Source organism: Homo sapiens, chromosome 14 (genome assembly GCF_000001405.40).
Source record: "Homo sapiens chromosome 14, GRCh38.p14 Primary Assembly".
Lineage (NCBI taxonomy): Eukaryota > Metazoa > Chordata > Mammalia > Primates > Hominidae > Homo > Homo sapiens.
In genome coordinates, this window is record NC_000014.9 from 32,485,894 (window position 1) to 32,500,722 (window position 14,829).

Below are 14,829 nucleotides of genomic sequence, written 5' to 3' on the forward strand. Positions count from 1 at the left end.
CTATGTCCTGAATGGTATTGCCTAGGTTTTCTTCTTCTAGAGTTTTTATGGTTTTAGGCCTTACGTTTAAATCTTCAATCCATCTTGAGTTAATTTTTGTATAAGGTGTAAGGAAGGGGTCTAGTTTCAGTTTTCTGCATATGGCTAGCCAGTTTTCCCAACACTGTTTATTAAATAGGGAATCCTTTTTCCATTGCTTGTTTGTGTCAGGTTTGTCAAGGGTCAGATGGTCGTAGATGTGGTGTTATTTCTGAGGCCTCTGCTCTGTTCCATTGGTCTATATATCTGTTTTTGTACCAGTACCATGCTGTTTTGGTTACCGTATGCTTGTAGTATAGTTTGAAGTCAGGTAGTATGATGCCTCCAGCTTTGTTCTTTTTGCTTAGGATTGTCTTGGCTATATGGGCTCTTTTTTGGTTCCATATTAAATTTAAAGTAGTTTTTTCTAATTCTGCAAAGAAAGACGATGGTAGCTTGATGGGAATAGCATTGAATCTTTAAATTAATTTGGGCATTATGGCTATTTTCACAACATTGATTTTTCCTATCCAAGAGCATGGAATGTTTTTCCATTTGTTTGTGTTGTATCTTATTTCCTTGAGCAGTGGTTTGTAGTTCTCCTTGAAGAGATCCTTCACATCCCTTGTAAGTTTTATTTCTAGGTATTTTATTCTCTTTGTAGCAATTGTGAATGGGAGTTCACTCATGATTTGACTCTCTGTTTGTCTGTTGTTGTTGTATAGGAATGCTTGTAATTTTTGCACATTGATTTTGTATCCTGAGACTTTGCTGAAGTTACTTATCAGCTTAAGGAGGTTTTGGGCTGAGATGATGGGGTTTTCTAAATATACAAACATGTCATCTGTAAACAGAGATAATTTGACTTCCTCTCTTCCTATGTGAATACTCTTTATTTCTTTCTCTTGCCTGATTGCCCTGGCCAGAACTTCCAACGCTATGTTGAATAGGAGTGATGAGAGAGGGCATCCTCGTCTTGTGCTGGTTTTCAAAGGGAATGCTTCCAGCTTTTGCCCATTCGGTATGATATTGGCTGTGGGTTCATCATAAATAGTTCTTATTATTGTGAGAAATGCTCCATCAATACCTAGTTTATTGAGTGTTTTTAGCATGAAGTGGTGTTGAATTTTATCCCAGGCCTTTTCTGCCTCTGTTGAGATAATCATGTGGTTTTTGTCATTGGTTCTGTTTATGTGATGGATGACATTTATTGATTTGTGTATGTTGAACCAGCTTTGCATCCCAGTGATAAAGCTGACTTGATCATGGTGGATAAGTGTTTTAATGTACTGCTGGATTTGATTTGTCAGTATTTTATTGAAGATTTTCACATCAATGTTCATCAAAGATATTGGCCTGAAATTTTCTTTTTTTGTTGTTGTCTGTGCCAGGTTTTGGTATCAGGATGATGCTGGCCTCATAAAATGAGGTATGGAGGAGTCCCTCTTTTTCTATTGTTTGGAATAGTTTCAGCTCCATCAGGTCATTTATGTTTTTCTCTAAATTGGTTATTCTAGTTAGCAGTTCCTGTAAGCTTTTATCAAAGTTCTTAGCTTTCTTGCATTGGGTTAGAACCTGCTCCTTTAGCTCAGAGGAGTTTGTCATTACCCACCTTCTGAAGCCTACTTCTGTCAATTTGTCAATCTCATTCTCTGTCCAGTTTTTTGCCCTTGCTGGCGAGGAGTTGTGATCCTTTGGAGGAGAGAGACATTCTGGTTTTTGGAATTTTCAGCCTTTTTGCACTGGTTTTTCCTCATCTTCATGGATTTATCTACCTTTGGTCTTTGATGTTAGTGAACTTCGGATGGGGTTTCTGTGTGGTCATCCTTTTAGTTGATGTTGATGCTATTGCTTTCTGTTTGTTAGTTTTCCTTCTAATAGTCAGGCCCCTCTTCTGCAGGTCTGCTGGAGTTTGCTGGAGGTCCACTCGAGACCCTGTTTGCCTATCACCAGCGGAGGCTGAGGAACAGCAAAGATTGCTGCCTGCTCCTTCCTCTGGAAGCTTCGTCCCAGAGGGGCACCCACCAGATGCCAGCTGGAGCTCTCCTGTATGAGGTGTCTCTCGACCCCTGCTGGGAGGTATCTCCTTGGGGTCAGGGACCCACTTGAGGAGGCAGTCTGTCCCTTATCAGAGCTTGAGTGCTGTGTTGGGAGATCCGCTGGTCTCTTCATAGCTGGCAGGCAGGCAAATTTAAGTCTGCTAAAGCTGCGCCCACAGCTACCCCTTCCCCCAGGTGCTCTGTCCCAGGGAGGTGGGGGTTTTATCTATAAGCCCCTGACTGGGGCTGCTGCCTTTCTTTTAGAGATGCCCTGCCCGGAGAGGAGGAATCTAGAGAGGCAGTCTGGCCACAGCAGCTTTTGAGAGCTGTGGTGGCCTCCACCCAGTCCAAACTTCCTGGTGGCTTTGTTTACACTGTGAGGGGAAAACTGCCTACTCAAGCCTCAGTAATGGTGGACGCCCCTACCCCCACCAAGCTGGAGCATTGTCCAGGTGGATTTCAGACTGCTGTGCTGGCAGAGAGAATTTCAAGCCAGTGGATCTTAGTTTGCTGGGCTCCATGGGTGTGGGATTTGCTGAGCAAGATCACTTGGCTCCCTGGCTTCAGCCCCCTTTCCAGGGGACCGAACAGTTCTGTCTCACTGGGGTTCCAGGCACCACTGGGATATGAAAAGAAACTCCTGCAGCTAGCTAGGTATCTGCTCAAATGGCCGCCCAGTTTTCTGCTTGAAACTCAGGGCCCGGGTGGTGTAGGCACTGGAGGGAATCTCCTGGTCTGCAGGTTGCAAAGACAGTGGGAAAAGCATAGTATCTGGACCAGATAGCACGGTCCTTCACTCGTGGCCCTAGGGGAGGGAGTTTCCTGACCCCTTGTGCTTCCCAGGTGAGGCGACACCCCACCCTGCTTCTGCTCCCCTTGGTGGGCTACACCCACTGTCTAACCAGTCCCAACGAAATGAGGTAGGTATCTCAGTTGGAAATGCAGAAATCACCCGCCTTCTGCGTTGGTCTTGCTGGGCACTACAGACTGGAGCTGTTCCTATTCGGCCATCTTTCCCGGTAATCCCCTGGTTTTATGTCTTTATAGCTTATTTTTCCATTAAAATTTTGTAATCAGCTTGTCTAGTATCAAATAAAATATTTTTGGTGTTTTCATTAGGATGATGTTACATTTAGAGATGAATTTAGGTAGACTTGACATTTCCATAGTGTTGAGTCTCTATATTTAGAACATAGTATATTTTACTATTCAGGTCTTCCTTTATTCCCAACAATATGTATTCCCTTTTTCATGATTGATTGACTGATTAATTTTTAGAGCTGCAATCTCACTCTGTCGCCCAGGCTGTGTACAGTAGTGTGATCATAGCTCACTACAGTCTCAAACTCCTGGGCTCAAGCGATCTTCCTGCCTCAGCCTCCCAAGTAGCTAGGACTCCAGGCAGATGCCACCACGTCTAGCTAATTTTTAAAATTTTTTATAGAGATGATGTCTCTCTATGTTGCCTAGGCTGGTCTCGAACTCCTGGCCTCAAGCAATTCTTCCAATCAGTCTCTCAAAGTGCTGGGATTACAGGCATGCACCACCATGCCCAGCCCCTTTCTCTTGTTTTTAAATTGCTACATATGTGTATATGCAATGTTTTTAATTAAAAAAACTTTACAGAAAGCACCTGACCTGTAATTACCTAGATTAAAAAACAAAAATAGAACTTTGCCAGAGAAAGGAAAATAGAAACTCTTGATCAGAGAAGAGTACGTGGAATACCCTGTGGCCCTTCCTAAGTAATATACTTTTTGACTTAGTGATCATCATTTCCTTGCTTTACAGTCTTAATGCCCATGTAGGCATCTCTAAATAATATAGTTTGCCTGATCTGGTGCTTCAAATAAATATAGTCATGCCACATATATTCTTTTGTGTCTCACGTGTCCGTGTGAAGAGACCACCAAACAGGCTTTGTGTGAGCAACATGGCTGTTTATTTCACCTGGGTGCAGGCGGGCTAAGTCTGAAAAGAGAGTCAGCAAAAGGGTGGTGGGATTATCATTAGTTCTTATAGGTTTTGGGATAGGCAGTGGAGTTAGGAGCAATGTTTTTCGGACAGGGGGTGGATCTCACAAAGTACATTCTCAAGGGTGGGGAGAGTTACAGAGAACCTTCTTAAGGGTGGGGGAGATTACAAAGAACCTTCTTAAGGGTGAGGGAGGTAACAAAGTACATTGATCAGTTAGGATAGGGCAGAACAAATCACAATGGTGGAATGTCATCAGTTAAGGCTATTTTCACTTCTTTTGTGGATCTTCAGTTGCTTCAGGCCATCTGGATGTATATGTGCAGGTCACAGAGGATATGATGGCTTAGCTCGGGCTCAGAGGCCTGACATTGCTGTCTTTTGCTCAACATGTTTATGAGGTTTGTCCGTGAATGTTGCCTTTTTATAAAACACTTTTTAAAAATTAATATATTCAGATCACCATATAATTTTTAAAAATTTCTTTCAAACATGAAACAGACCTTACTTTCCTGGAATGAATCAATCCAACGTGGATATATAACTTTTATGTTATATTCATAGTTTATAGCCAAATTCATCTTACGAGGACTGGTCTACTTCTAGTTTACCTTTACCTTTACTCCTCTGAAGTGGTCCTTTAGAGGTCCTTCTGAAAGCCTAAATTTTTACCAGGGCCTCTCCTCCTTAGTGGGTTCTGAGCTCCAGTTTTTGTCCCTGCAGCACTGAAAATGGCTAGAAGTTCAGTTTAGCTTCTTAAGCTCTAGATTCGGCTTATACATCTGCAAAGACCTTGAGGGGGAAAATGGTGCCAAATGTCTTACTTCTGTAAATTTGCATTCTCTATGAGAATATTTATACTATATCTTCAGAACTGATTCTTATTTGTCTAGCTTGTTTGGTTGTTCTCAGTGAGGTAGTTGGTCTACATAGGCTAGTCTGCTATAATCAGAAGGAAATATCAAGAAATAATATAAATTGGCAATTTAAGATTCAGTCAAAGTGCAAATAGTATTATCAGTGAATAGTGATGATAATTTTATGTCGATGCCTCTGGGAGGAACAAAGGTAGCACAAGCTACCTCAAATACCAGAAAAGACATTTAATATCCTAAGGGTTGCTGAGGTGATCTGGCTGTGGCATCTGTCACCCCACCAATCTCAGATTAATTCTGATCATCTCAAAAGCTGGGCAGAATCTCCCTTCTCCCTAATTGCTTCATATGTATCCCACCAGATGCTTCCTCCTGGTTTAATCAATTACCCATGCCAAGAAATGAAGAGTTATTTATCCTAACTTCTATGCATCTTCTCCCACAATGTCCAACTGGTTACCAAATTACGTCTATTTTATCTCCCAATGTTTATATAATTTGTTCACTCCTTTCCATCTCCACTGCCTTTGCTTAGGTCTAACTGTTATAATTTGTCTGAGTTATTGAAAAGACCTCTACTGTCATTCCTCTATCAAAACAAGGAAAGATCTCTCTAAATACAAATCTCGCTCAAACTTTTGGTACTGTGCTTAAAATCCAAAAGTGGCTCTCTATAACCCATAGAATGAAATTACATATGTTATGTGGCTGTCCTCCCTGTGGCAGATACTGAAGGCAGGCAATGTGTGATGTGGGATACTCAGAAACTTCTGTCCTTGTTCAGGGACTACCCCTTTCCAGCATATGACTGGAGCACATGACAACCTCTCTGGACCTTGATTTCCTCCTTTACAAGAAGAGGAAATTGAACCAGAATATTTCCAACTCCAGTGACTTTGTGATTCTGAATCATTGCCTTAAAATATATTGTTTGCTTTTAAAAATTAATCTTATGTTTATACCAACATCCATATTAGGTTGTACAAATTTTATGTAGAATAATCTCAGACATCAACTATGTAATTTTTATGTAGCAACAATTGATTTTATCTGCAGTGATTCATGACTCAAGTGGGAAACTAAATCCCGATTTAACTAAATCATTTTAATTGACGTTCTCCACCATTAAAAGGCCTGTAGAAGTCCCTCAAGATTAAGATACATGCAACCTGTGATCCTAGAAATCCCTTCCTCTGTACTAGCCTGAAGTGTGAGGGTTATCTTATTATCCAGTTACATCTCTTGACTCTCTGCTCATTCCCACCCTTGCAAACTAAGCTCTTCTCTGTTATTCTCAGCCCCCTCAACAAAAATACCTCATACTATCCTTCTACATCTCATGTGATGCCCCTTCCTCCTTGCATGCTTTCTCCCATTGCCCATGTCTGGCTCTCTCTTACTTGGCCTTTAGAACTCAGCTTTGCCTCACCTCCTCTAATTGCCTTCTCTCTCTTTTTCTGGGTTAGGTGTCCCTCCTCTTTTTCCTGTTCTCTTGACACACTCTGTAGATATCACTGTGCTTCTCAAACTACATTGTAATATATATATATATATATAGAGAGAGAGAGAGAGAGAGAGAGAGAGGCATTTGGATACATGCATATATATATATATACCTCACATAACTTTCAGTGTGTGGCAGATTTATGGAAAATTATGTTTGTATTTTTCTTAAGTTCTCTTAGGAATATGTTTCAAATAAGCATAGCTTTCCAGACTGATGTTAATACTTGGTTCTAGTCAGAAAATCTTGTCTTCATTTTGTCATCTTTCTTCTTTTGTGCTGGCAAGAGCTGACAGCTATTTAAATGAGAATTAAAAATAGATCCCTGTGAAGTACATGTTCCTTTTTTTTCCCTGCCAGGATATAACTGACCACAGAACTGGGATTATCTTTCTCTCTCTTAAAAAAAATTCTCCATGGGCTGTGCTATCTAATATAGATAAAATCTAGTGATGAAAAAAATAACTCCTAAGAGATATTCCAGTGGTCCAAATACTTTTGCCACTCCTATTAGAAAATATGCCTTTTTCTTATTCTTAAAGGATATTCAAATAATTTAAAGGTTAAAGTGCCACCAGTTTATGTCAAACTGGTGTTTATGAAAACCATAAAAATGAAATGCCACCATTATAATCTGTGATTAATCTACATTGTGAATTTGCTTTGACTATGGGATGTGTCTTGCCTTTCTGTATTATTATCACAAATGGAAGAACCTCAGCCTGTGGAAAGTCGGAACTGGGGTGCTGGAGAAAAAGGGTAACTGTTTGTCAGAGAAGGAACTATGTTTGAAAGGCTTTTGGCCTGAGGAAGGTAGATTCTAATTTATCGTCAGAAGTGACTGGAGCAAACCTGGCTTAAGACTGAGGCTGAGAATGGGCTCTAAGGCACACTCTTTGTTTGTTTGTTTGTTTGTTTTTTGAGACAGGGTCTCTCTCTGTCACCCAGGCTGGAGTATACTGGTGCGATCACGGTGCACTGCAGCCTTGACTTCCAGGGCTTGGGCAGTCCTCCCACCTCAGCCTCCCAAGTAGCTGGGAACAGGCTTGTACCACTACACCTGGCTAATTTTTTATTTTAATTCTTTTGTAGAGATGGGGTTTCACTATATTGCTTAGGGTGGTTTTGTACTCCAGGGCTCAAGTGATCCTCCTGCTTCAGCCTCCCAAAGTGCTTGGATTACAGGTGTGAGCTACCGCACCCGGCCTAAGGCACACTAAAAAGATTTGATATGCGATTGGATCATTTGTTTGTTCTTTCATCAAATATTCATTGAGTTTTATAATGTATTTTATAATGAAGCCTACATGACATCCATTATGTCACCTCAGGGCTGCTGGTCACTCTGAACTAACAATATCTCAGGAGACTGGGAGTTGGTTGGGGGTAGCTTGCTGAACCCAGAAGCAAGCTATGTGTGCTCCATTGATTCTATAATATTCCAGAATTCATTCATTTAGCAAACATTCACTGACATTTGTTAAGGGCCCAGTGCTGTTCTAAACCAGCTCTGCAGAGATGACCCTGACATAGCGACTGCCAACTATGGTTTTCTTAGTTGGGGAGTGAGGGAGGTAAAGAGAACATTAAGATGTCAGGCAGAGGCAAAGCCTGGGAGCACTGAGGAGGGGTCATTAAGCCAGGCAAGGAGAGTCACGAGGCTTCTAGAGGAGGTGGCCATTGAACTGACTGTCAGGAAGTTTGAGAGAGTGGTAGCCAAGGAAAGAGAAGGGACTTTCAGACTTTATCCACTTTGGTGTTCTCTCTTTTGGGAGACCATGGCTATCCATTCACGACAGATTAATTTACCCTTTTATTTCAACTTCTCTCATAATGAGATTTGAGTCATTCTTTCTACAAGTAGTTCTCAGCAAATCTCCAACCCAGGAAATTCTTCCCTATATCTAGCTATGCCCACCCCTTCCTGGAAATCCAGACTCTGTCCTGGAGTTCTGACTTTTGTGGAAACCATGAGTAGGGTGTTGATGATGAAGTTGGAAGATTTGTGAATTTATCCTGTGTTACTTCTGGGATTCAGAATGCTCAGTGCTGGCATGGAGGAACTCACATCGTAAGGAGGCACTATGCGTTTTCCTTCCACTGTTTATTTTTTTGCTAATTTCTTTTCTTTTCTGCAAAACAGTCATATTAGCCAGTCAGTGGAGTACTTTATTAGAGGTAGCATGCTTTAGTAGCTATGTGTCACATTGTAAAGGAGAACTAAGTTTCATAATTATGAAAAATGCTTAGAGTATTCTTGTATTTATAGTTTTCTCTATGAAGGGAATGAGTATTCTTTATAGGATTCTGGGCAGTTAGTTTACTTTCACTGGGACTTCCTGGGGAATGATGCACTATGTGACTGGATACTGCAGTCGGAATCTGAAATTGCTCCGTAAAACAGCTGTCCAAGTCACTTGCATGCCTCTCTTGAATTCTATGCTCCCTAACAATCCACATCTCTAACAAAACTGTCATAGTTCTATGTTTATTAGTGATGGGTCTAAGCTCTCTGTGGGTTTTTAAAGATAGGTGTATAACTTCAGTGTTTCCCGTCAGCTAAAGTAAACTACACCCCATGTTGTGGGGTGTTGAGGAAGCACTGCACACAGATTGTAAGCTTTACATGTGAGCTTTCTATTGTAACCAAGCAACTGACACATTAGACACCCCTTTGCCATCAGCTTACATTCTCTGAGAACTTAGGTCAGTGCCTAAAATAACCCTGTTAATTGTGGGGGCACATGTGGAATGAAATTCCACTTAGCAGTCTGGGAGCTGAGTGACTGAGGATTTGAAACCTTGCTATAGTTACAGTTCATAACAAGTGTCTAGGCAGTTAGACCTTAAGTGTTCAGGTATGGAAAGAAAGTCATATGTTATGTTTTAGATTCTGTTTGTAAAGCTGGTTAACTAGAGACAGCTGATGAAAAACCAAATCGACTTGAGTTACAAGATCTGGGCTTTCTCTGCTCTGCTTTCAACCTGTTGGTTGGTGGTGGAGTAGCTGACAGAAGCGAATGGCTTGGCTGAGGGACATGAAGTGACAGCAGCCTGTTTAGGACCACACCACATTTTGGACCTCTTGCTGTGCAGTTCAGGTAGGCTGTTGTTTATCTGGCATTCCTTATAAGACTGACAGAAGTCATTAAACTGTTCAGTTTCAGAGTTGGGCATGAGAATCTCAAGCCTCTCTCCTGCACATAGCACGTTTATGTTAGTGGACACTGCTTCACTCCCTAACTAGACAGTATGCCAAATGAACGTCTTCGTATTGTTGTTACCCAAGTTCACTTAAATTCTAGGACATAAGGGAGGCTGAGAGCATTCACACAAAGTGCGACTTATCTGGCGCGTGGTAAAATGCATCTTTAAAATTTACCTTCCTCTTTTCTGTTTTATTTTCCTTATTCTTGTTCCAAAAGGCAGGCTTTTGTGTTTGTGGGAAACAGTGGGAGAAAATGTTAAGCCTGTTAGTATATTCCAGAACATATGGTTTTCTTATTTTTTTAAACTGCTTAATAGGGTCTGGGTTTTATTTGAAGAGTAAGATGAAAATCAACACTACTCTTTTCCAAATAAACTCAGTTAAACTACTGTTTGTGCCCGTATCAGTGTAAGTAACATAAATTGCTGCAATATTGTTGTTCTTCTTACCCCAATGTTGACCTGTATTATAAAGTATCAAATTTAGTTTTGGCTTCAAGTATCTGGCACATAAAGTAAGTATACAAATGCTGTATAATAAGTATGTGAATGCTGTAAATGATGCTTTGGGACTTCTACCTGATTAGGTTATTTAATCCAGCATTTATTCAAACTTATACCTCATGTCACATGACAGACATATTCCTAAAACATGTAAATCAGGTTTTGTAATTAGAATGACTTAACACATACTTGGAAAGCTGATCACTTTTAAGGAATCTATGTATAAAATGAATAGAGAGTTACAACTAAATTTATGCTTTGATGGTTCTTTTTTGCATGTCAGGTTCTTAAATTGAGATTCACTGATGGTGCATAACTTTGGATAAGTTTCTCAGGAACAAAAACTGCATTTTTATGATCTTGAAGTATACACACAGATGTACATGTATATGTACATGTGTATATATATGTATATTATATGATCACATGAAGCCCTTGGGGGTCCTTAGAAGGATGTCTAAGGGGATTTGGGAGTGGCCTATTGATATATTGGATGTTAAATTGTGCCTTCGGTGGAGAAAGATTTTCTGGAGAGAAGGGTCATGGTCTGAGACTTGAGATTAAAAAAAAAAAGTTGAAAAGAATATTTTCCTACTGTTTGTATATTAATGTCACTAATATACTTGAAAAGCTGCAGTATTATTACCCATCTAACATATTGTTAATGTATTGCAGCCTCAGGAATTATTAGCTTGAACCATATGAAATTGCCAATATTTGACAATTTTTGACCTATAAAAATGGCAATTTTGTATGGCTCAACCTAGTTATTTAATGAACATTAACTCATATTAATGAAAGGTTAGCCTTAAGTGCCCAACAGTAGTCGTATGAACCAAATATATTCTTATAATTGAAGTATGAGAGCTGTCTAGTTAAAAAGTAGATCATCCAGAGTTACTTCCTGTGAATAAATCCAGTATGCATGTGTTATGTCCTTCTTTTAATTCTTAACTTCTTTGTTTGGTCTCTTAAAAAGAACTTATGTTTCTGCCAAGTGCTGCCTACGGTGTTTTTGAGATCCGGAGACCGTGGGCATACATCCTCAATGGCTGGGAGTTGATATTTAGCAGGATTTGGGGGTTATCTTTGAGAAAGTTCATCCTCTGGATAGCTTGCCAGTAATCGAATGTGTGTCACAGTGTTAGGGTCTCTCTATGCATAGTATCTTAGTGTTCTTTTTCCTTTTCTAGAGTGAAATCTGAAGTCATTGATTTGAAACCTTTCCTCATGTTTATATAGGTGTTTGGTGCTATAAATTATCTCCTAAGTCCTGCTTTTAGTGAGAATCTCATGTTGTATGTTTGTTTTCATTCATTTAAAATGCTTTCTCATTTACATTTTGACTTTCTTGACTCATGGAGTATTTAGAAGTGCATTATTTCTTTTCTAAGTATTTGGGGATTTTCCAAAAGTCTTTCTATAATTCAGTTGTGGTCAGAGAACATACTTTTTATAAGTTGAATCTTTTAAAATTTATTGAGACTCATTTTATGATCATAGTCTATCTTGGGAAATGTTCCATAGACACTTGAAAAGAATGTATTCTACTGTTTTAGTAGAAAAGAAAGTATTCTACTGTTTTGGTTGACTCTCCTAATTTACCTAAAATGGCACTAGGTCAAGTTGGTTGCTAGTGTTGTTCACATCTTCTCTCTATGCCCTTAGTGATTTTATATATATATATATTTTTTTCCAATCAATTTTTGAAAGAGGGGCATTAAAATCTCCAATTAAAATTGTGAATTTGTCTGTTTCTCCTTGAAGTTCTTTCAGTTTTTGCTATATGTATTTTGAAGCTGTCTCATTAGGTGAATTAACATTTAGGATTGTTGTGCTCCTTGATGAACTCATCCCTTTATCATTATAAAATGATCCTTTTTATCCTTGGTTATAGTCTTTGCTCTGAAATTTACTTTTTCTCATGTCAATATAGCCATTTCAGCTTTCTTTGAAAGTCTTTTCTTTTTTAGGGAGTTTCAATCTAAGGTATTTATGTAAAAACTGTGAAACTAATTTATTAAAATACTTATTCGATTAATCAAGGTATAAGTAGAATTCACTGATAGTTTTCAGTCGTCCTTCTACAATTCCATTTCTACAATGTTATGGCTTTTATAGTCCTTCCTCCTCCATTGTCATGTGACTGTCATTTTACAGCCCACATAATGCAAGATTTTCATATACTTAACATTTAGCATGAAATGAGCACTGGCCAATTAGAATGAGTGCCAGATATAAAAGGTATGGCTTCACTGGTGCATGCTGGCTGAATATCAGTCCTGAATATATAACAATTAATGTCTCCTGAGTTAGGTGCAGGAGCCATTTTTTTCCAGTCATTCATATGAAACTCTAGCTTCTATAGATACCTTAAAAATTAAAATAATCTTTAACACTTAGAATTCTAAGCACTATTTAGTAATCAAATATATCAATATGTATATCAACATCTTAAGGCATGACTTCTTTATATTAAGGGAAAATTCCACAACAGAACTTATTTTAGATATTGGCCTTAAAACTTTTATTTTAGATATTGACTATTTTATGTAGCAAATATTTGTTCATTAATCCACCAGTTTGTTTGCTTTTTTTAATTGAGGCTTTCCTGTAGGTCAGCCATTGGGAATTCGAGGATGAGCAACACTACTTGGTCTTGCCCTTAAGAAACTACTGTAGTCAGGGAGCGAGAACTATTCCCAGTTCTGGTGCACTCAAGATATCATGTGGCAGAGGGGTAAGTGGGCGGGAGGGTGTAAGAGGACATCCCTTGGCCTCACAAGATCTCTCAAGGTGTAAGAGCCAAAAACAATTTAACTTCATTTACATATGTCCAAAAAGGTAGCAATTAATTTGTAATCTATACTTTGTTCCATTCATTGAGAAACTTCACTTACCTTGTAATCAGCATACCTTCAATAATTTTTTTTTTTTGGTCCATGTCTGGGGTTTTACTGGAACCCTTCCTTTGCTTTCCATACTCTATGTAGCACATACTACCTAGTGGAGTACTCACACATTGTTGGCACTCAGTAAATATTTGTTGAACAAATAAATGAATGAATATTTGCCCCTGGTACCATGGAGGATATAGGAAAAAATTGGAGCTGTTGTTCAGCCCTTTCATGAACTGGGTATTACCTGAAGAAAGTGAAGCATCTTGGCTGTTAGCAATGTTCAATTTCTTTATCAGAGTAGTGGTTACACATGTGTTCACCTTATGATTATTTGTTATGATTTATCAACTTTTATCAAGCTATATTTCACAACACAAAAACTTAAAACACATGATAAAAAATAAGTGTAACAGCAAAAAAAAAAAAAAAAAAAGAGAGAAAGAGTGGAAGAAGGAATTTTAATTTTTAAGCCTCCCAAAGTTCTGGGATAATAAGCATGAGCTACTGTGCCCAGCCTGGGCTGTCATTTTTTATACAATTAGGAAAGTTGTTCTGCTCCCTCCTTCAGTTTTGGATGATGTTTGATTTTAGTCTTATGTAGACAGATCTTTCTGTATTATAATTTACACTGTTTAGAAGATAAATATGGTAGATAATACAAAGCAGTGTTATTGTTGCTCAGAATAGAACTTGGATAACATTTTTGACACTGTAATAATAATATTAAATATCACTATTAATATATTACATGATGGTTGAGATATTTACATAATATTTATTAATCTTATCATTGGTATGTATTATAAAACTAAAAATGATACTGAATATTATTAATATATATTTTACATGTTTAATTTTTCAATCATTAATCACTTAAAAAGAGAGCGAGATTAGACACAGTATTAGTTTGTTACATGGTTTTTAACCTAAAACTCTGACAATTTTAGTTGATGAATACTCATTCATACCAAAGACCTATTATTAGGAATAGAACTTGTTAAATATGTACATATGTACCTGATTAAAAAAACTAAAGCTTTGCAGTAAGAATTTGTATTTGTATGTACCAAAACAATATATCTATATTTAGCTCTTATCTATAAAAATCTAATTGTAATTGATATGTCTAAGAAACACCCAAAACTCAGATTTTGATTCTTTTTTCCAGGATCTTTGTACTTTATCCAGTTAGACTAGGTCTTTACTTTCAAGAAAAGAGAGACGAGAAGAGGGAAGGAAAACTCACTTAACATGTTTCATCAGCATGATCCATGAAGTTATCAGCAGGAAATATAAACAGATTATTTTAAGCAATGATCTTGCTAACAAAATACTTGAATGTGCTTTGTAGAGAAGTAGTTACCCACACATAACCCATGACCTGTTCATTTGGCAGATTGCCATGAAGTATTTACTTGATAAGATTATTTATTGACATCTAGCTTAAAATGAATATTGCATTATGTCTGAATGTGATTCTTATTACAAGGACAGAGGGATAATACAATAGTGAACCAATGATCACTTCCTATACTTCTGTCACTCTGTGACGCTGAGCATACTTCCCCAGAGTCCCTGGTTGGAAGGAGGGCACACTTACTATATGGGATGCATAGGTGCCAATGGTTGAAGTTGTGTTCATGCAGCATATCTACCCAGAATTGGTATGGTGTTGCCAGTGTAGGTGCTAATACTACTTAGAATGGTGAAGATTTGAGTACAGAAGCTTCCCTGAGAAGTTCTGTACTTTAGTCTTAATTACCATATATGGGGAAAAGTCTGTATCAAAAGGGCTGTGTATTCTTGAC

At 38.4% G+C, this 14,829-nt stretch overlaps 1 protein-coding gene across 12 annotated transcripts in view; it reads left to right on the forward strand.

Annotated features, from left to right (window-relative positions):
* Positions 1–14,829, forward strand: part of AKAP6 (A-kinase anchoring protein 6) — a 508,387-nt gene that overhangs the window by 156,596 nt on the left and 336,962 nt on the right. Inside the window, exon 1 of one of the 12 annotated variants that reach the window (XM_047431971.1) lies at positions 9,224–9,511. The exons of the other annotated variants lie outside the window; for them this stretch is intronic. The gene's annotated coding sequence lies outside the window, so the exon portion shown is untranslated. Of the gene's footprint in view, positions 1–9,223; positions 9,512–14,829 lie in introns of those variants that run through there. 12 annotated transcript variants of the gene reach the window in all.